General features: G+C 37.5%; 1 protein-coding gene across 3 annotated transcripts in view; it reads right to left on the bottom strand.

The window, feature by feature from the left end:
* The window catches only part of UNC80 (unc-80 subunit of NALCN channel complex), a 227,465-nt gene that overhangs the window by 88,862 nt on the left and 115,685 nt on the right, over nt 1-22,918 (bottom strand). For 2 of the 3 annotated variants that reach the window (NM_032504.2, NM_182587.4), the window contains exons 26-28: nt 22,175-22,340; nt 14,022-14,122; nt 5,470-5,670 (exon numbers count right to left, since the gene is read on the bottom strand). In NM_032504.2, coding sequence (NP_115893.1) covers nt 5,470-5,670; nt 14,022-14,122; nt 22,175-22,340 — 468 coding nt within the window. Of the gene's footprint in view, nt 1-5,469; nt 5,671-14,021; nt 14,123-16,068; nt 16,273-22,174; nt 22,341-22,918 lie in introns of all 3 variants that reach the window. The other variant, NM_001371986.1, reaches the window with a different exon arrangement.

Genomic DNA, 22,918 nt, shown 5'->3' with positions numbered 1-22,918 from the left:
ACTTGATTAGAAGATAGATATCACAGAGATGGGGGTATATGTGTGATGGGTTTGGGTACACTCTTGTAAAGGTCTTAAAGTCCCTCTATTGGTGTGACTCCTAACTCAGACTACTGGAAGGAGCAGGAGACTAGTTCCAAAGGCATCTACTAGTGGTCCTTTGAAGAGTTAGAGATTTCACTGGACTACAAGATGCACCTAGTGGTTGAAATGACACATCAAGCAGGGATCTGTAGAGAAACTCAAGATTAGCAACCCAAGACCAAAGGACAGAATAGTGATAAATTCTGGAAACAAGAGTGATAAATTCTGTCCTTTGGTCTTGGGTTACTAGTCTTGAGTTTCTCTACAGTTCCCTGCTTGATGTGTAATTTCAACCACTATGTGTATCTTGCAGTTCAGTGAAATTCAAACTCTTCAAAGGACCACTAGTAGATGCCTCTATTAGTGATAAATAGAGATTAGGGATAAATTCTGTCCTTTGGTATTGATAAATTAGTGATTAATTCCTCTACTCAGTCATTGTTGAGGTGGTTCTACCAGAGGGAGCTGTGTTCAATGGGAGGCAGTTATGCAGCCTCATGCTCTGTCAGGGATACTTGGGAATCCCTGCTATGGGATAGGGTAGAACTTGGACCAATGACATTTTTTCCTATGTATATGTCTTAGAAAAATCCATCCTAGTTGACTCTGTGACTCCTCTCGGCATCCTGACCACTTTTGATTAGATTACCAATGCAAAACCAATTTTTTGACTGGCTAAGGATTTATCACTTGTGGTGTTTGGCCCAAAAGAGGAAGAGATGGCCCCCTCAAATTCCTGTCCTAGGGAATTAAGAGAAACAGTCTGAATCATTTAGTGATGGTTGCTGTGCAGAAAAATAATGATGCCATCTTGAAATTTTCAGTCTATGTACAAGATGAGTACAGCAATAGGAGCTGGCCAGGGGATAAAATGTCTGTGCAGATGGAGATGATGCGGAAAGAAGCAGAGATGAAAGACTATGTTCATCCTGAAATGGACAGCAGCTTTGGTTCTCATTTCCCTGAGGCTTAGCTGTTTCTTTTCCTGTCCCTAGTTTCATGAGATTCTACTGTATCCTTTGAAGAATCTCCCTAATTGTTTGAACAAGTTCAATCTTCTGTTCCTTACAACAAAAATTATTGACTAGAGAGGAATAATAATGGTTTTAAATAAAATTTTGCCTATTCATTGAATAATTCAAGAATATTTTTTGAGTTAACCATATGCCAGAAACTAGACTAACTTCTGGAGTAGGTGCCTGCACTCCTAGAGAAGTGTAGGAAAGACAGATGACAAACAAGTAAACAAATGAAAAGTCAAGATAAATAGAAAAGGAAATGCATGCATGAAGGAGGACTCAGTGTGGAAATAACAAGGTATTTATATATTTCTTCTTCTTTTTTTAATTCTAAAAGAATTGTAACACTGTAATAAGGTGTTTAAAATTTGTGGAAATTGAAGTCAGCCTACTGGGCTCTCTGAGAAAGGGATTTCCTCGTTTCTGGGAAGAAGTTTATGCCAACAGAAATGCAGTATTTCTCAAAAGGTAACCTAGACTCTTTATGCCTCATACGGCTTTAACACATGAATTATGTAAGTTATAGTGGACAGTCATCCTGGCCCATGAAATTAAGATCCAGGGCCTGGTCTTGGCCTTACAATAATGTTGCTCATAGATAGCTTTAGGAAAAATGTTGGTTCTGCAGGAAGTCAGTTGACCTCTTGACATTTGCACTGGAATTTGCTTTATGGAATTTACCCACACTGTGTCCTTTATTTTTTTGAGCATGTATCACAATTTGTTCCTCTCTCCTTTTTGGTTGAAAGAGGAAAGAATTTAATCTGCTCCTTTTTTAAATTAACAAGCATTAATTAAACATTTATCCTATTTATAACATAGCTTTGGACAAAGTACAGACATAGAGGAAAAATCTCAGAATTCTTTGGTAAAGGTGATATATACATGTAGAATGACATTTTGTTTTTTAAAAACCCTCAATTTTGGAAGTACACTAAAATAGACTAACAGATTGTACAGTGAGTCCCTCAGCATTGAAATGTAGATTAGCAAATTGATCAGAATTAGATGGGTTACAAAATGTACTAGCTGCCACAAATATACTCTGCCATAAAAAACCAATTAAAAAGAAAACAGGAATGAAATATCAATTGCTCATAAGACACGATTTTATTCAGAATACTGCTTTTACTCTTGCTTCATTGCCCACTCTGTTTTCATTTTTCATCTGGAAATGTGGGCACTGTTCATTTATCTGGCAGATTCACAACAGGCAAATGAAAAGTATCATGAGAGAAAGCAAAGAGCTTGTGGAGGAGGCTAGCATTTTGCAAATAAAATGTTTATCACAGAGGAGTCAATTCATCTTTTTAGCTCTCTACCTGAATGACTAATTACAATATGTTAAAGTTAGAAGCACTTATTCATGCTTTACTTTCCCTTTCCTTTTCAGAAATGTAAGCAATAGCAGAAGGTTGGTAAGCTTTTTCTACTGCTTCAGGCCAGGGGCCTGGTTGAGGCAGAGTGGAGGGCACTCATGAAACACCCTAGGACTACAGCTCTACTCACTCACTTAATATTAATAACTGCTCTACTATTACATAAGTGAGTACTCTGTTAGGTTATCATGCAGGATACAAAATGTGAAAGACTTCCTCAGTTCTCAAAAAGCTTATAATTAAGTGTAAGAACATGCCACTGCTCGCAGGATAAAATGAAAGCCTTCCCATGGTCCCACATGGTCTGGTCTCGAGCCGCCTGTGCAGCTTCATCATGCATCACAGTCCTCTGTGCTCCAGCCATGGCCCTTCATACTCACCTCTTCTCGCTGGTTGGCAAATCTGTATCCAATTAACATCTATGCATCCTTTAGTTAAAGCTCACCTGTCACTTTATTGGAAAGGCTGTCTTTTATTTTCCCCTACAAGACCAAAGCCTCATTCATAAGCTCTCTTAGCACGGTGTAGCTCTCCATTATTTCACTTATTGCAGATGTAATTTTACATCAATTTGGGAGTTTTATTTGATCAATGTCTGTCTTGGACTAGATTATGTGCAGTATATGGGGGTACAAACTGTATTTTTTTTTTTTTTTTTTTTGCCCATTATTGTACCCAGCGCAAAGTATGGGCTCAGCATGGTCCACAGGTTCTTTAAAAGCCTGTTGAATAGATGAACGGCTGGCTGGCTGGATGGATGGATGGATAATTGAAAGAAGAATGAGAAAACATGAGTAAAATACAATTATAATTTAGTTGAAGAAGGAAGTAAGGAAAATAACATTTAGTGTCCATCTGCAGTAGGCCCTGTGCTTAACACTTGAAGAATCAAAAAAGTTTCATGGAGGAGATGGCATTTAAGTTGGATCTTAAAGAATGTTTGGGTTGGGCTATGTTAGATTAGAGGCCTAGTGCCAGCAAAAAATATAGCAGTAAGAAATTCTGAAGTGTGTATGGAGAACAATGATCAATAATTTAGGCTCACATATTTTTGAAACTTTCAACATATATGGTTTTAACCTAAAGCTAAGGGAGTTTTTATAGTAAGAAAGAATTTACATAAATAAAAATAGATTTTCTTTAAATGCAGTGTCATTTATGTTTGAAATATATATACAATGTATATACATATACATGTATGCACACACAAACGTATTTACTTTTTTTCTTTTTATGTCATTATTTAGTAGTTTATTTGTACCCCACATTGGTCTATTCTCCACCTTCATTCCCCTCAGAATTTGTATTATTTGCATAACATGAAATGCAAAACAGTCTAGTTTAAAAAGCCCTGACTCTGATGTTCCATATTTCTAAGGTTAAAGTCTAGCTAAATACATTATAGATATAAAGTGTGGATAATCTCAACTTTCTGAGCCCCCACAGTTGAAAAACCTGTAAAATGGGGATAAAATAACTCTTGCAATGGTTTTTAAGAATCAAAAGGCACTTGTCAATGAAATGTACTTACTTTATACCCTCACACATACATTTAGAAAAAAACTAAAAGATCATACCCCATAGGATGAACTTGCACACTTAAGAGGTACATCAGATATATAATTTTTAAAGAATATTTTGTATTATTAAAAATTTCTTCAATGAACATGTATTGCTTTCATAATAAAAAAGTTGTAATTAAAAAAATCCCTTTGTGAGCACTAAGGTATAACAAATTGCTACACGACTCAACTGGATTTTTGTTGTTATTGCTCATGTTCTCTCATTGTTTGATGTACATATTATCTCTTACCCCCTCCCCAGGCCAAACCTGGTTTGCAAATTCCTTAGAAAGATTTTCTGCTTCTAGTTTTTTTTTCCTTAACAGAATATCTAGCCTAATATTGTGCCAACAGAGGACACATAATAAATGCCCGTTGAAATGAATAGGTGTTATATAAAAATCTCTTTGCAAAACCACTTAGGAAAAGCAGCTGCAGGGGCAGCCACAACATTCAGTCAGGCATCTTGGCTGTGACGCCTGTTCAGGGGCAGGTGGAAAATTTAGGCCTTCCCTGGCAGAAGCACAGCAGCCCTGGTCACTGTCTTCATCTCCTGCCAGCTCAGCTGCTCAGGGTAGTTTTCAGAAGAGGGCAGCTGAATACTTGAAAAATGTAATAGTTGCTTGAAGCAATTTCCTTTAGTCTGATTTGACCTAGATGACTCTTTTACTTGGCTGTGAACAGTGGGCCTATTTATGCATATTTTTTAGTACATAGTTGTATTAGTTTCCTGTTGCTGCTGTAACAAGTGACCACAACCTTCATAGCTTAAAATGACACAAATTTATTATTTTACAATTCTGGAGGTCAGAAATCTAAAACGGATTGGCGGGGCTGTGGTTGCTTCTGAAGGCTCTAGGAGATAATCCATTTCCTTGTCTTATCTAGCTTCTAGAGGCTGCCAGTATTCCTTGGCTCATGGCCCCGCATCATACTGACCTCTGCTTTTCTCAAGACATTTCCTTCTCTGGCTCTGACCCTCCTGACTCCTTTTTCCACTTATAAGGACCCTTATGATGACATCAAGCACAGCTGGATGCCCACTGTAAAATTTTCAATCACATCTGCAAAACCTCTTCTGCCATGTGAAGATATTCACAATTTCCAGAGATTAGGATGTGAATGTCTTTGTGGGAGAGGCATTATTCTGCCTAACACAATAACTTATTCGTCATCGTCATCATCCCTATGCAGTCATATTTATTTACAGAATAAGACAAAACCTGAGGAAAGATTCCATGTTTACTCATGGACAAGAAAGACAAAACATTTGTCTTTCTTGTACATCTCTTCTGCTTATGTTTAGATGCACACAGACCTGATTGTTACAATTGCATTTGCTTGAAAATTCTTATTTCCAGAGAAGAAATTGTTATGACATCATGTTTCTAGTATTAGAATATCATTCAATGGTCATTTACTTACTTCTTTCTGTTTCTTGCCCCGGAGAGCCACACTGCTGATGTTGCTGCTTTCCCTCAGGGAGTCCACACTGTCTCCATAGAGTAGCTTGATGGCTCTGACCAGTCGGGCACAGGAGCGGCTGTGGTGCAGGTAGCAGTGGGGATGGCAGTAGTCAACGTGAGTGCAGATGAAACTCTGCTGATTGCACAGCAAGATCATCACCTGGAATACAAACATTCCTGAGACTCAGCCAGGCAACCAGGGTACAGATAAACTGAACATATCTATGGGGTGGAAGATGGGAAGTCAGAATGTCAGCTTCCCTGGATGTGTCTTGAAATCGCAATGGTCCAATAATTCCCAAAGGAGGACAAAGGGTTCTTTATCCACATGGCCTTTTGTTCTCCCCCCATTCATACTTGATAGAAGGATCTCTTTGAAACATTAAAAGGTTAACAGGTCTTCAAAAACTTAAAACAATTATTGTGGAGTGTATGGTTTCCAAATATTCTCAAATGGAGATTCTGAACTTAAAACTAAATTTTTTTCCAGCTCTTATATTGGGGAAGGAACCATATGAAAGGGCATAGACTGGTGAGAAATTCTGTCCCAGAGGATCTGGCTGACCTTTGACAGCTGTGGGACACCTTTAATGCCAGCCCACCCATGTGGGACTTGAAAACATTTCCACTTCTTCTCCTCTGGCCAATCATCTTCAACTAGAACTTGAACCTTACTGTACAGTTTCATTTCCACTCTCTGCAAAGTGATATTTTTCCTCTGGCTTTTAGAACATCCTAGCTCTTCTCTTGTAGCTAAATCAAAATCAAATCCTCACATCTCCTATAATTCTCCCATTAAAATTACAGAAGGGAATTCATTTGATTTAAAGGATATGGTTATTTTAAGATAAGGAATAAAGGCCCTTGCATTTGGAACTTCTTAAGGAGCTTTTCTTAAAAGGCAATAGCATATGCAGAGCCACAAGGTCAGTCAATAGTGTGTAGAGTATCTTCTGAATGCTTCCATCCTTCATGAAACTATAATAGTTCCCACCTTAACAACTAACCGGTGAGGGACTGTGTTCCATATTGAACACAAAGAGAGCACAAAGCAAGATGATGTGGGCAAGGCCAATATGTTGATTGCAGCCATGTGGGAGATCCTAAAGCAGAGGACCTAGCTAAGCTGTGCCAGAATTCCTGACCCATAAAGACTATAAGCTAATAAATGTGTATTGTTTTAAGCCACTAAATTTGTGGTAATTTGTATGCAGCACTAGAAAATTAATACATTCCCCCTCTAACCATGTGTGTATATATAGTATATATATATTACATATATACTATATATATAGTATATATATATTACATATATACTATATATATAGTATATATATATTACATATATACTATATATATAGTATATATATATTACATATATACTATATATAATATATATAGTATATATATTACATATATACTATATATAATATATATATTACATATATACTATATATATAATGTATATATAAATATATATAATGTGTATATATATAAATATATATAATGTGTATATATATAATATATATATAAATATATATACACAATTTCCTGCAGGGAGTCCACACTGTCCACACACACACACACACACACACACACACACATATAATATAATATATATATTGTATATACACACACACACATAAGTCAGCTCTCCATATCCATGGTTTCTGTATCCGTGGATTCAACCAACTGCAGATCAAAAATATTCCAAAATATCCCCCCAAAATTTTGTTTTTACTAAAATGCACAGACATTTTTGGGAATCATTATCAATACAGTATAATAACTACTTATATGGAATTTACATTGTATTAGGTATTATAAGTAATCTGGAAATGATTTGGAGTATGTGGGAGGATGTGCATAGTTTATATGCAAATACTATACCATTTTATACCAGGGGCTTGCTCATCTGTGTATCCTGGTATTCATGGGAGGCCCTGGAACCAATCCCCATGGATACCAAGGGATGACTGTACACACACACACACACACACACACACACACACACACACACGTGTATACAGGCATACCTTGGAGATATTGAGAGTTCAGTTCCAGACCACCAAAATAAAGCAAATGTTGCATTTAAGTGAGTCACACAATCTTTCTATTTCCCAGTGCATATAAAAATCATGTTTACACTATACCATAGTCTATTAGGTGTGCAATAACATCATGTCTAAAAAACCAATGTACATACCTTAATTAAAAATGCTTTATTGCTAAAATATGCTAACAATCACCTGAGCCTTTGGCAAGTTATAATTTTTATTTTGCTGGTGGAGGGTCTTGATATTGAGGGCTGCTGACTGATGAGAGAGAGAAGTGGTTGCTGAAGGTTGGGGTGGCTGTGGCAATTTCTTAAATTAGACAATGAAGAAGTTTGGCCCATTAATTGACTGTTCTTTTCATGAAAGGTTTTTCTCTAGCATGTGATACTGTTTGATAGCATTTTACTCACAGTAGAACTTCTTTCAAAATTGCGATCAACCCTCAACAACCCTGCTGCTGCCTTATCAACTTAGTTTATGTAATATTCTAAATTATCTGTTGTCATTGCAATAATGTTCATAACATCCTTACCAGAAGTAGATTCCATCTCAAGAAATTACTTTCTTTGCTCATCCATAGAGGTACTTCCTCACCCACTCAAGTTTTATCATAAGATTGCAGCAATTTAGTCACATCTTCAGGCTCCACTTCTAATTCTAGTTCTCTTGCTAGTTCCACCTTATCTGCAGTTACTTCCTCCACTGAAGTCTTGAATTCCTCAAAGTCTTCCATTAGGGTTGGCATCAACTACTTCCAAACTCCTGTTAATGTTGATATTTGATCTCCTCTTATGAATCACAAATGTTCTTAATGACATCTAGAATGGTGAGTCATTTCCAGAAGCTTTCAATTTACTTTGCCAAGATCCATCACAGGAATCCCTATAACTGTCTGTGGTGGCAGCTATACCCCTGCAAAATGTACTTTTTTTTTTTTTTGAGACAGAGTCTTGCTGTGTTGCCCAGGCTGGAGTGCAGTGGCGCGATCTCGGCTCACTGCAAGCTTCGCCTCCCGGGTTCATGCCATTCTCCTGCCTCGGCCTCTCGAGTATCTGGGACTACAGGTGCCCGTCACCACGCCCGGCTAATTTTATTTTGTATTTTTAGTAGAGACGGGGTTTCACCGTGTTAGCCAGGATGGTCTTGATCTCCTGACCTCGTGATCCGCCTGTCTCGGCCTCCCAAAGTGCTGGGATTACAGGTGTGAACCACCACACCTGGCCACAAAATGAACTTCTTAAATCATAAGACTTGAAAGTCAAAATACACCTTGATCTGTGGGCTCCAGAATGGATGCTGCATTAGCAGGCATGAAAGCAACATTAATCTTCTTGCACACTTCCATCAGAGCTCTTGAGTGACCAGCCACATTGTCAATAAGCAGCAATCTATTGAAAGAAATTTTTTTTTGTTTTTTTTCCTGAACAGTAGATCTCAACAGTGGACTTAACATACTCAGGAAACCATGCTGTGAAACAGATGGGCTGTCATCCGGGCTTTATTTTTCCATTTATAGAGCTCAGGAAGAGTAAATTTAGCATAATTCTTAAGGGCTCTAGAATTTCAGAATGGCAAATGAGCACTGACTGAAACTTCAAGCTGCCAGATGCATTAACCCCTAACAAGAGAATCAGCCTGTTCTTTTAAGTTTTGAAGCCAGGTATTGACTTCTCTCTAGCTACGAAAGTCCCAGATGGCATTTTCTTCTAACAAAAGGCTCTTCTACATTAAAAATCATTTTATAGTATAGCCACCTACATCAATGATCCTGGCTAGATCTTCTGGATAACTTGCTGCAACTTCTACATCAGTACTTGCTGCTTCACCTTGCACTTTTATGTTATGGAGATGGCTTCTTTCTTTCAACCTCATGAAGCAACCTCTGCTAACTTCAGACTTTTCTTATACAGCTTCTTCCCCTTTCTCAGCCCTCACAGAACTGAAAAGAGTTAAAACCTAGTCTCTGAATTGGGCTTTGGGTTTAAGAGAATATTGTGGCTGGTTTGATCTTCTGTCCAGACCACTAAAACTTTCTCCATATCGGCAATTACACTGTTTCACTTTCTTATTGTTTGTGTGTTCACTGGAGTAGCACTTTTGATTTCCTTCAAGAACTTTTCCTTTGAAATCACAACTTGGCTTTTTGGTACAAGAGGCCTAACTTTCAGTGCATCTTGGCTTTCAACATATCTTCTTCACTAAGCTTAATCATTTATGGCATTTGATTTAAAGTGAGAGACACACAACTCTTCCTTCACTTGAACACTTACAGGCCATTGTAGGGTTATTAATCAGCCTAATTTCAATATTGCTGTGTCTCAGGGAATAGGGAGGCCCTAGAAGAGGGAGAGACACAAGAAGCAGCTGGTCCATGGAGCAATGAGAACACACACATTTATTGATTAAGTTCAACATCAATATGGGTGTGGTTCATGGTGTCCCAAAACAACGACAATAATATCATCAAGGATCACTGATCACAGATCACCATAAAAAACGACAATCATGAAAAAGCCTGAAATATTGTGAAAACTACCAAAATGTGCCACAGAGACACAAAGTAAGCACATGCTATTAGAAAAACAGCACCAACAGACTTGCTCAATGCAGGGTTGCCACAAACCTATAGTCTGTAAAAAATGCGATATCTCCAAAGCACAGTAGAGTAAAGTACAATAAAATGAGGTATGCCTGTATACACACAGACATGATACATAAATATACATATTTGAATGCATAAGACAGTGAGGCAGTCAGGATGAAGGGTATGATGTGGAGAGAAAGGATATTCGCTGAGGTGAGGACAATGTGAGGACACATCACATTTCTCCTTGAGACATTTGCTACATCTTAGGCATAACTGGCCAAGAAGCTAGGCAGAGCCTTAGGCAATCTCATGGGGGCTAGGAGGTAAAAATTAGAATTTGGAATTACCAAAGAAGGGAGAAACTGAATAGTCTAGTCCCTGTAGAGAAATGAGGTCCAAATAAGTCCGACTGACACTGGATGACAGTTTTCCCTTCTAGGCATTGGCTGATTGAGTAGCTAAGAAGAGAAGCAAAGACCAGCTGACAAACAGAGTAGAGACTTTGGAAATTTCATTGTGATGGGGAAACACAAATTGTAGTTCCTGACTCATCAAGAATGAGAGGCCCTGTGACATACCCCAGACTCTCACTGGGAGTCTTGGACATCTTCATATTAAAAGGTGTGTGTAGAGGGTGTGGAAGGACAGGCTAGAAATAGTCCAAGTCCAGCTAGTATAGTCCCTGACTGGACTGAGGTGATCTGCTTCTTTGTTGTCTGCCAGAGGACAGGGTGAATCCTCTCTGGAAAGAGAAAACATCAACTAGAGCCCCGGTGCTTTTTTTTAAATTAATAAACTTTATGTTTTAGAGCAGTTTTGGCTTCACATTACAATTGAGCAGAAAGTACAGATAATTCCCACATATACACTGTCTGCATACATGACAACCTCTCCTACTATCAACACCTTGCCTCAGAGTGGTACACTTATTACAATCAATGAACTTATATTGACACACCATTATCACCCAAAGTCAACAGTTTACATTAGGGTCCACGCTTTGCTTTGTACATTCTGTGAATTTTAACAAATGTATAATGACATGTATCTACCACTGCACCTCTATAATTTTTTTTATACACCATGTTTAGTCAATATAATTACAAGGCATTTTAGGAGCAGGACCAAGAAGAGTAAAGAAAATAGATTCATATATTGAAGTTATCAGCTGTGGACTTGATCATGATATCTGCACTCCCATGTTTGTTGTGGCACTGTTCACAATAACTAATATTTGGAAGCAACCTAAATGTCCATCAACAGACGAATGAACAAAGAAAATGTGGTACATATACACAATAGAGTACTACTCAGCCATAAAGAAGAATGAGATCCTGTCATTTGCAACAACATGGATAGAACTGGAGATCATTATGTTAAGTGAAATAAGCCAGCCACAGAAAGACAAACATCACATGTTCTCACTTACTTGTGGGATGATCTAAAAATCAAAACAATTGAACTCATGGACATAGAGAGTTAGAAAGATGGTTACCAGAGGCTGGCAAGGGTAGTAGGGGGTTGAGGGAGAGGTGGGGAAAGTTAATGAATACAAAAAAATAGAATGAGTAAGACTTACTATTTGATAGCACAATAGGGTGACTATAGTCAATAATAACTGTACATTTAAAAATAACTAAAAGAATGTAATTGGATTGTCTGTAACACAAACGATAAATGCTTGAGGAGATGGATACACCATTCTTCTTGATGTGATTATTTCATATTACATGCCTGTATCAAAACACCTCATGTACCCCACAAATATACACACTATGTACCCCCAAAAATTAAAAATAATTTTTTTTAAAAAATCTGTGATCAATTATGAATACATCACAATGGAAATTTTAAAATATTTTAACTGAATGATATGAACATATATCCAACCTTGCATGATGCAGCTAAAACTGCTTCTAGATAATATTTATAGCTTTAAATTCATGTTAGCAAAGTGGTTGCAAATCAATCATCTGAGTATCCGTGTCAAGAAGTTAAGAAAAAAACAAAAACAAATTAAACTCAAAAAAAGTAGAAGAAAGTAATAAAGATAATAGAAAATATTAGTAAAACAAAAATTCAACATTCTAAAAATGACAAAATGAAAATCTGGTTCTGGGTCTTTTAAAAGACAAAATTGAAAAACTCTTAGAAAGACACTATTTAAAAAAGAAGAGAAGACAATCCACCAATATCAAAAACAATAAATGTAAATCACTGTAGATCCTACAGAATTTAAAATGATCTTAACAGAATATTATAAACAATCTTTTTGCTGATAAATTTGAATATTGATATTAAATGAAAAAATCTTAGCAAAAAATATCAGTTTACCTGAATTACTCCCAGAAGAAATATAAAATCTAAATGGTCTTAGCTGTATTACATAAACTGAATCTGTAATTTAAAACTCTCCCATAAAGAAATTTTTAGGTTTAAAAGGCGTGGCCAGTGATTTCTTCCAAATATTTAAAGAAGAAATAGCACTGTTCTTACACAATGCTTGCAGAGGTGTTTATTTATGGAACACTACACAGAAAACTAAAAGGCATTATTGAAAGACATTTAAAGAAGCTCTAATAAATGGAGAAACAGACATTAGTGGAGCGACCATTTTAAACATTGGAAGATTCAATATCATAAAGATATGATTCATTTAAATTCATCTATGTATTACACTCAAGGCTGCTTTGGAAGTTTTTTTTTAAATTAATTAAAATCGTCAGGGTGATTCTAAATGGATGTGAGTCTAGCCAAGAGTAGACCAGGCCATTGTGAAGGAGAAGAACAACAAAATTGGAGGACCTACATTTATATGAGGAAAAGGAACCAGACACAACAGAGTAGTAGTATATGATGCCAATTACATGCATTTCAAAAACAGACAAAATGAATCTATGGTGTTAGAAGGTAGAACAGTGGTTACCGTCAGGGAAGAGTAGCGTCTGGTAGAGGACCTGCGTAGGATTTCTTAGGTGTTGATAATGTTTTCTCAACCTGGCAGTGGTTACACAGGTGTATTTACTTCATAAAAATGTATTGAGCTGTATACATAGGTTTAGTATGCTTTTCAGTGGGTAGGTTAGAGTTCACTAAAAAGTTTACCTTAAAAAAACAGCTGCCTCAGAGATTCTCAAATCAGTCAGTTCTGGTGACTGCTTCCATAGTGAAGGTGAGCCACCATATATCCGAGGACCATTATGCACCAGCTAGTGCTCATCTGACTTTTCCAGGAAGTCAGATTAAAATCAGGGTGAATGGTGACCCCCGTGATGGTCCTGGGGATACCCTGCCACTTGTACAACTGAGGTTACATTCCCTTACCTTTCTCCTTACTTCTTTCTTCATGCTCAGCTCAAGTCTTGGACTCCACCCCGTGCCCAGAGTTTCCCTGGGATCACCTCCTGCCTGTGCCCTCTGGCTCACCCTCGGACATACGACATTCACCATCTTAGAGTGTCCTTGCCCCAGTTTAAAATTTGATCTAATACACACCCAAGAGCAACACCATGACCGTGCTCTCAAAATTCGCAGTAACCTGTTTAAAACTGATGGTGATACCTACGCTGTGTCACTCAGGTTATCTTGACCACCAACCTGGCCTCATGATTTTCCCTGATTTATGGTGACCTGCAAGCCAGCCATAACCAAAAAAACTTGGTCTTAGTTAAGCTTAAGATGAGTACAATCCAGCAGAATACCAATTCTAGAGAGTGTTGAGATATTCAGGTAAAACATAAGCCCCTGCTTTCTCTTGGAGGCTAGATCGGATTGATGATTTAGTATAATCTCTTGTCCTCCCTCCTTGGATCTTCCCCAGTGCCAAAAGAAATTGATCTCAGGGCTGTTTCTGAGATTCCTACTTACATGAAGCCACGACATGTTTCTGTGGTAATTCTCCTCCGCGCCGGCATTACTCATTCCCTCTGGCTCAATGCTGGGCTCGCTTGCACTCCAAGGACTCCCTTCTTCAAAAGAAAAATACCAAGAAAGGTTTCAGTGTTCGGTCTCCCTGGAGAGCATGTTGGTATGGTACAGTTGTCCATGCTTCTGAATCCTAGGGCAGACTACCATGGCCCAGTGGGTTACAGGGCATAGCATTGACTTTGTTGGAGGAATATTAACAGGAGCTGTCCCCTTCACCACCAGCTGAACTGGCAATTTCAAAGACATTTATGATCTCTGTTATGGTGGCTTCCATTTTGAGAGATGGGAGCAGAGAAAAAAAAACAGAGTCAAGTCCTTGAATTGCTGAGATGAGCCAGTTATTGATTGAGTGCGCCCAAATCCATTCCAGACTGACCAGACCTTGCAGGTGTATTTAAGGAGGGACAGCAACTAACCTGCCTCACAGTGACTGCTGCCTCCACTGTTCTGTGACTGCAGCTAGTGCTATTGCTCTAGCCACCAGGCTTTGCTACCAGAGCTATTTCAAAGATGGGCAGGTACCTCTGAAAACCTAAGGAAATTTGGAAGCAATTATGTCCAACTGTGGACAGCCCTTGTGTCCAAACTCCTCTCTGTGTGAAAGTATAAAGGAAATATCTCTCAAGAATTCCCTACTTGGTAGACTACACAACAAAGCTTTCCCCTCAAATCTAAAATCTTTTATAGATCTTTTTAATGACAAAACAATGTTTTCAACCTGGCTATTTTGACTCAATTGGTCAGGATAAATCGATCAATTTAAATAATTAATTGCAATAATTTTTCCCCAAATTAACTGATGATAATGCTCTAGCTTCAGACTTGTAAAAAAAGAAGTCATATATACTTTAAAAAAAAGTCTCCTTAAGAAATAAGCTGAATCTTAAGTAATGCATAAATCAGCTATTTTCAAAGGCGAGGGTGGGTGGATACAGAAGCATTTTCTATTTTAAACCTTCTTTGATTAAATATACTCAGCTTTTATTTCAGCAGACTTGATCGATAATTTATCCACACTTCTTGCTGACTTTTGAAACTACTTACCTAGTAAGGAGAGCTTTCTATTTTGCCTTGCATACAGAGACTGAATGGCAAAGTGAATGTGCTTCAACTTTTACCTAATATTTAATGTTAGGCAGCTGGTGAGTTCTACTTTCATGCCTACTTAATCTTTTGCTTGTCTATTAAGATACTAATTAGGGCCCATATTTTGGACTGCCATATTTTGGTATTTGAAATCTCTTTAGAGCCTACAATGACAATCTATAACTCTCATGCTTTGACTGTACACTGATTTCATTCTCAGGTGTTTAACACATTGTATGGTCATCTTCTAATTTATCTTTAGAGCATCCTTGCATTGTAGGCAAGAATTATTCTCACTGTGTAGTCAGAGAAAACAAATCCCTGAGAACCTAAATGACTTGTTGAAGATCACTCATTGTCAGGTCTAGACAATCTTTACTCTCTGAGATTTTGGTTGTTCATACTGGTAAATAGAGACTTTAAAATATAGAGAATCTTTAGGTAGTCCTCCCCAAGGGAATTACATTTGACATTGAATGTTCTGATCAAAAGAATGAATACACAAGCATCGGAATTTCAAAGACTGTCCTTTTCATTAAAGTGTTTTCTTTCCCTAATGAATACTCCACATCCTTGCTGCTCAAAGTGTCGTCCTTGAAATCAGCAGCATCGGCTCCACCAGAAAGCTTGTTAAACATGTAGAATCTCAGATCCCCACCCCAGATCTGCTGAATCAGAATCTGCATTTTAACAAGCCTCTCCAGTGACCCATATGCACATCAAGGCTTGAGCTGCCTTGCTCTACCAAGGGTAGTATGGTTTTCAGGCTGAACAGGTTGTCTATCCTATGGCTCTGCCCTCCATCTATTTATGTGTAAGAAAATGGACTTCAGCTCTTTTGGGACTTGGGCCCTGTCTTCCTACCCCCCACGTCCCTGCACACCCCACTCCTCTATGTTACCTAGGTCAGTGACAGTGTCCCTGCTCTGGGACAGCTGCAGCTCCTCAGCCTCAGACTCTGAGTCCTGCCGTGATAACTTGCTGCTCTTTAAGCTGCCGACCCGGCGAATGCTGGACAAGGAACCCCCCTTCTTCACCTGGAAACTGCGGGTTCCTTTAATCTGGAGCAGGCGAGAACCTCCTATCCTGATCTTCCTGCTGGGAACTGTATTAAAAGAATAAAATAGGGCTTTTTCCCCCCTAGTGTTCCCCAGCCAGTGTTATATCCATCTCTCCCCAACTTGTCCCTGATCAGCCTCCTCTGCTGGCCTGGATGAGCACTCTGGACAAGGAGCTTCTCCCAAGCCCCCAGTCCTGCAGGAACCACCAGGAAGGGCTGGTGCAGCTTATTTCTTGGACACAAAGCTCATCGGAACTGGGAACAACCTGCTCTCTTTCTGGCCCAGGTTTCACTAGCATGAGTGTGCTTTTGGGGCAGCATCAACTAGGACTATTAGTACACTTTTATCATGGGATTCCTTGATTCAAGAGAACCACAAACCATTTGTTTTTGCTTTCCTTTCGAAATGGGACTTACAGACTTCTGTAAGCTGTCACGTAAACCCCTTCATTTTGGAATACCTCATTCAGAAATAAGAACCAAAGGTGCTTCTCTCTCCAATAGTCAGCAGTGGCTTCCACTCTGCTCCTCAGAAAAGGCACTAAACAATCTGTCTTCACTGGGGTGCTTTGGGTGAGCATGAGTGTGAAATGGCTCCATTTTCAATGCACTTAATGACTTCATACTATCCTCCTCTCAGTCAAAAGGCTGGGTGAGATGTGATTCCAAATGGTGCAACCCCCCCGAGCCAAACTTAAAACAGTCTATGCATACCAAGAAGAATATGCATTATTCATCTTTAGTGTTCTGGAAGAAATAGTAATCAGTGAGGAAAATAAACGGGTAAAAGAAATGCATTTAAACTTGAACCTATCTTTCTTTAAATCAACAGCATCCTTATTTTCCATAGTCATATACACACCTCCTTCCTTTTCAAGATTTGGTGTTTTCACACACTGATTTTATAAAGGTGGGATAAAGTAAGTTTTCAGGGTTTAAAGTCCATTACCAGGAAGGGGCCAATTTTATAAGCTTACCTTCTTAAGACATGAACAAGATTTCTTACTAATTATTTAAGGCACAGTTATTAATATTTTAAAATTCCCAATCAGAAAGTTTGCATGTTAGTTTCAGGTTTCTCATTCATGAGAGAGTTAATGTGACTGTGATAGAACTTGTATAACGAAAACATTAGCTAAATGTATACTTTTAATGCCATTTAAAGGAGGTCAGAAGAATTCCTGCTGAATAATGTGAAAGTTCTGATTTACTGTTGTGATGGAGAAAGATTAAAATTATCACCATGCAGCTGGTAAAGGCCCCATGGAGCTCCCTGAACACATCTGAGTAGAATTTCACATCTGGATGGAATTTCTTGCAGCACAGTTAGACAAATCCCACAAAGGCTATGAACCATAAAGCTGCATTTTAATTATAGCACAAAACTCACACACTATACTTTTCAATATTATTTTTATGTTTAATTAAGACTTTATCACCTATCTGAAATATGTTTGAAACAGAAAATAATTAAAATTTTGTAATGACTACGAGTGCAATTTCATGTCTAAGTAGATTCGGAAGCACAGAAAATATTAAACAGATAATTCTTAGATTTTTACAGAGGCACACGCTAATATTCTTTGCCCAATTTTATGACACTTTTTGGCCTACAGATGCAGCAAAATAAACTCAAATTAATGTAATCAGAAAGAAATTTAATTTTGAGAGCTTGTTCCACCAAAAAGGATAGTTGGAGATATCCTATAGCACTGAAAAATTACAGTTCAGAATTATGGCACTGGTTATTTACAAGGAGCACAGCAGTTAGAATTTATATTTGGTATTGTACATGAAAAACATCAGTTGAGATTGTGCAGCACTGAATTTTAGCCTTTATCTCCATGACAACAAGAACTAGTACAAAAGTGAAACAAATCCATCTAAATTGGATAAAACATCTTTGGCCTTTTCTTTCACCTCACTTTGTATCAATTAGCAAGTCCTGCTGGCTGTACATTTCAAAATATCATAGGATTTTGACAGCTCCATCCCCTTTTCCCTGGACTAATGTAACTGCATAACTGCTTCACCTTTCCCTCTACTCCCATAGATTAAGTCATCTTTTAAATGCATAAATCATAAATACACACCTTATATCACATTTCTGGTAAAACCTACCAACAACTCTAATGCACTTAAAACAAAATTAAATTTCTAACCACATCTACCAGACCCTGTTTGCCCTTTGCATACATTTCCAACCCATCTCCTACTATTCTAAATGATTATTTCACTTGAATTTTTCCTGGTAGAATCTGAATTGTCCTCAGCGTGTTTATTTCAAGAACTGGCATCTTAAGGTTTTACAAAACCAAATGGTATAAAATTTTAAAAACTGTAATTAGCAGTGTCTCTATTGTCTTCATTTTCATATTGGCTTTAGTAGCTGACAGCTTGTCAAATGGATTAAGGAATATTTAGGAATCTTTGGGAAGATTTTCGTCAACTGATTAAGGACATTTTATGGATATATTCTCATTTAACTTATAACTGCAGTTTTCCATTGTTTATTAAACAACTTTCATATGTTAACATAACCATTCTGTGTGTAGAAAAAATATTCAGCATTTGAGTGTTGAAATATTAAAGCCAATTTACATAAATAATAATCACATCAAATTAAAGTTCTTAAAATTAATCAGATATTTTATTTTATAAAATGGTGTAAATTTTACTCTGCTGAAGTTTAATTGTGTAATATTAGGAATTATCTACTATCTTAAATATAATTAGCATAATAACTTTGAATAAGGAAAGAAAAGACTGCCTTCTAAATTAAAATCTCTTTGGGATATGTTTAAAAGAGGGAAGCTTCTCATCATATGCAGTATAATTGTCTGAAGTAAGTAATATTTGAAAAAAATATTCATTTGATACTTCTTCATATTCAAAAATTGCTCAAGACTTGACTTATCCTTCCTGCAACATGGCCTCTTTTGGCCATAAATTCAATAGAATATGATATATGATTATCTGTATTTTAAAAATGTTGTGAAAACGTTTTGATCTTGAACTATTCAAACTTTTCCCAATGTATATCTATTCCCTTTTAAATATTGTGTGTTTTCTCTATACAGGGCTATTCCTTCTAAGAATCGTTCATTTGTTGTTATCCAAAATTTATTGAGTCATTGTCTATAGGATGCTAGAAAATACTTCAACACATAAAATCATTTTTGACTCTTCTAGCAAATGTGCAGATGTTCTTTTAATTGAAATTCATTGGAAAAACATGGAAAGGTAATGGAATTTTTAAAATGGCAAAATCAAATAGTGAAGTTGGCAGTTTAAAGGAGGCTCTAGAGGGCAACTTAAAACTTTGCAATCTTTAGTTCATAATTAGGATTTTCTATGTGGATTCTAATCTAGATGCTTATTATGTATATTTAAAAACCCAACAACAATAGCTATTTATTGTGTACCTACAATTCACCAGGTATTAAGTTTACACTTCACTTGCATTGTCTTATTAAAAGTTTTCAACATCGCAATGCAGTAGGTGTTAACCCAGTTTTACAGAAAAGGGAACTGTGGCTTAGAAGGTAAATAACTTGGACAAGGCCACATAGTGAGTTACTATATATCACCCATTTTAAGATGCACAACTTGTTCACATTTTAACATATCTGGAAATTGGTATTTGTCATGCAAGAGATGACATCTTATGATCACTTGCACCAGGTAGCAGTTGTGACACCTTTGTTATTGCTTGTCTGTGTGAAAATGTAAAGCACCAGCAAAAAGTTAAACAGAATGAGTGACAAGATCTTTTAACCCTAAGGAATCAAGTGATAGTGAGGGGTAGGTGGGTGGGTGAGGTGGGTAAGTCAGATGTGTTTAGCAACATTGCTGAAGAGGGACTAAAGGTGGGCTAACTTCATATGGGTGCAAGTTGGCTTAAGTAATTAGCACAAAAAACTTTACTTTTTTTATGAATCCATTTAAGAAATGATGCATCACTAACATTGTGATGCCACAGAGGACATTATCACACATAGAAACATAGACATATTAGATAACTGTGAGTTGAAAAGTAATTAAGACATTTAAACTCTGAGTTGAAGATAGTTTACAAAAACCTTAACCAGTTAATTTTATTTATATATATACATATAGGATTGCACAAGAATGATATATAATAATAATAATAGTAAACTACTTCTAATTAGGTCTGAATGTCCTTTTTCAATAAGAATAAAAGACAAGTAGCTGGGCACGTTGGCTCACACCTGTTGGGAGGCCGAGGCAGGTGGATCACCTGAGGTCAGGAGTTTGAGACCAGCCTTGCTAAAGTGGTGAAACCTCATCTCTACTAACAATACAAAAATTAAGAAAATGTGGCACATATACACCATGGAATACTATGCAGCTATAAAAAAGGATGAGTTCATGTCCTTTGCAGGGACATGGATGAAGCTGGAAACCATCATTCTCAGCAAACTAACACAGGAACAGAAAACAAACACTGCATGTTCTCACTCATAAGTGGGAGTTGAGCAATGAGAAACATGAACATAGGGAGGGGAACATCACTCACCGGGGCCTGTCCGTGGGTGGCGGGCTATGGGAGTGATTGCATTAGGAGAAACACCTAATGTAGATGACAGGTTGATGGGTGCAGCAAACCACCACAGCACGTCTATACCTATGTAACAAACATGCACGTTCTGCACATGTATCCCAGAGCTTAAAGTATAAAAAATAAAAATAAAAAGACCTAGGGACAGAGGGACAGAAACATGAATGACCAAATTAGGCCAAGGTGTGTATGTGCATACAAGTGGGTGAATTTAAGTTAATTATAATGGAAATGATATGTACAGATGGAAAATACTGAACTATTTTTAAAATACCACTGTCTAGAAAACATCCTTAGCCAGGCCAAAAGAAATTCTGTAAACGCTGTAACACTTTTATCTTTCTTAAATAACATGGTTCCATAAATAACTTTTCTAGGTCATTCTTATCTATTGAAAAAATTACAAGCAACCTGTAGGCTGAGTATATTACTTGAAGACTCATAAAGTAGTCTCCCATTTAAAAAATCAAATATAAAAACTTCATATCTGGTTAATATCTGGTCTATTCCATGGTTAGGGAACTTGTTTAATGTGCATTTAGCAATGCAGAAAGACTGTAGCTGTTCTTTCTGTCTTCATAGTTTCACAAAAATGATTAAATAAGCCTAGTGCTTTATTAATTGATGAGATTAGCCCTACAAGTGTTTAGCAGAGGTGTAGTTTTTAAAACGAGATTCTATTTACCAAATTAGTTTCACATTAAGTAATGGTCCCCAAGAATTTCGTGCGAATAGATGCCATTGATGTTAAGATAATTGAGAAACATAATATTATTTTTTCTCATTTTATTATGTTTTACATTTTAATAAAAGCATATTAAGAAAAGAAAAAAAATACAAAAATTAGCCGGGCGTGGTGGCGGGCACCTGTAATCCCAGCTACTAGGGAGGCTGAGGCAGGAGAATCACTGGAACCTGGGAGGCGGAAGTTGCAGTGGGCCGAGATTGTGCCACTGCACTCCAGCCTGGGAGACAGAGTGAGACTCTGTCTCACAAAAAGCAAACAAATAAAAAAGCAACAAACAAACAAAAAAAACCAATAAAAGACAAGCTAAGTGATAAGAGAGCATTATGTAAAAGTTCAATTGGGAGTATTTTTCTTTCCTTATTGGTAAATCAAATAATGGTTCATCTTATAGCTGTAATGGAATATGGAGAGTTTCTGAGCTGGAATTGGAAGCCAGGCCTCTCTGACTGCAGAGACCAACTTCTAACAAGCATGATTTTCCATCATAAAGCCTACACAGTCAGTATTGTAGGAAGTCAACAATTTGGGTACACAATTTTGTAGTTTAGACCCTAGTGCAAATATCCTATGAGAAACAAGAAACCCTGAAACATGAAGGAACCTTTGTGTTTCCATACCTTTCTTCTCCTCGACTCCTGCATCTGATTTGAGAGTGTGGCTGCTGCTGTGGAGAGAATCTTTTGAGTCTTCATTTTCGTCCAGGACCCCAGCAAAGCTGATCTTCCTCTCATATCTGTGCCGGTCCAACTCGGGATCCAAACGAAGTCTGCAGCTCTCCAAGTCCTAAAATGCCAGTGAGGAGCACATGAGTGCTGGCATCTCCCCAGCACTGCATTGGTCTCGCGGCAAGCCTCCCACCATTTTGAATTATACACAACTGCGTTTAAACAGCCAGATTCCTTTATCTGACGCTAATTTTAGATTGTGACCATGCAAATCTATTCTTGACTTAAAAAATAAATAAAATCTTTCCTAATTCATAGTATTTTTCCCCTTTTCCTCACATGCTTTACCTTCCAAAAGCATAGGCCTTGATCCAAATCCAAAACTATCTTCCTTACCTTCTAACTCTTTGTCCACAGTTTTGGCTGCATCTTTGGCCTTTATCTCTTATTTAAAAATCATGCATCAAGCATGGATGTGTTAGGTACTGAAGGATAAATAAGGAACTTTTTTTAATCTCTAAAGGAGTTCAGAATCCCAAGATAGAAACTGAGAAGGCAAACAAGTGATAAATTTTAAGACTGAGAGTAGGAGCTCGGAAATCAGACTCGGAACTGTGCTCGACAGAATAACAGCCCCACAAAGATGCCCTAATCCCTGGGACCTGTGAATATGTTGCCTTACATGGCAACAAGGAT

The sequence above is a fragment of the Homo sapiens genome, chromosome 2 (genome assembly GCF_000001405.40).
Source record: "Homo sapiens chromosome 2, GRCh38.p14 Primary Assembly".
Taxonomy (NCBI): Eukaryota; Metazoa; Chordata; class Mammalia; order Primates; family Hominidae; genus Homo; species Homo sapiens.
This window is presented reverse-complemented; position numbering and strand designations above follow the sequence as displayed.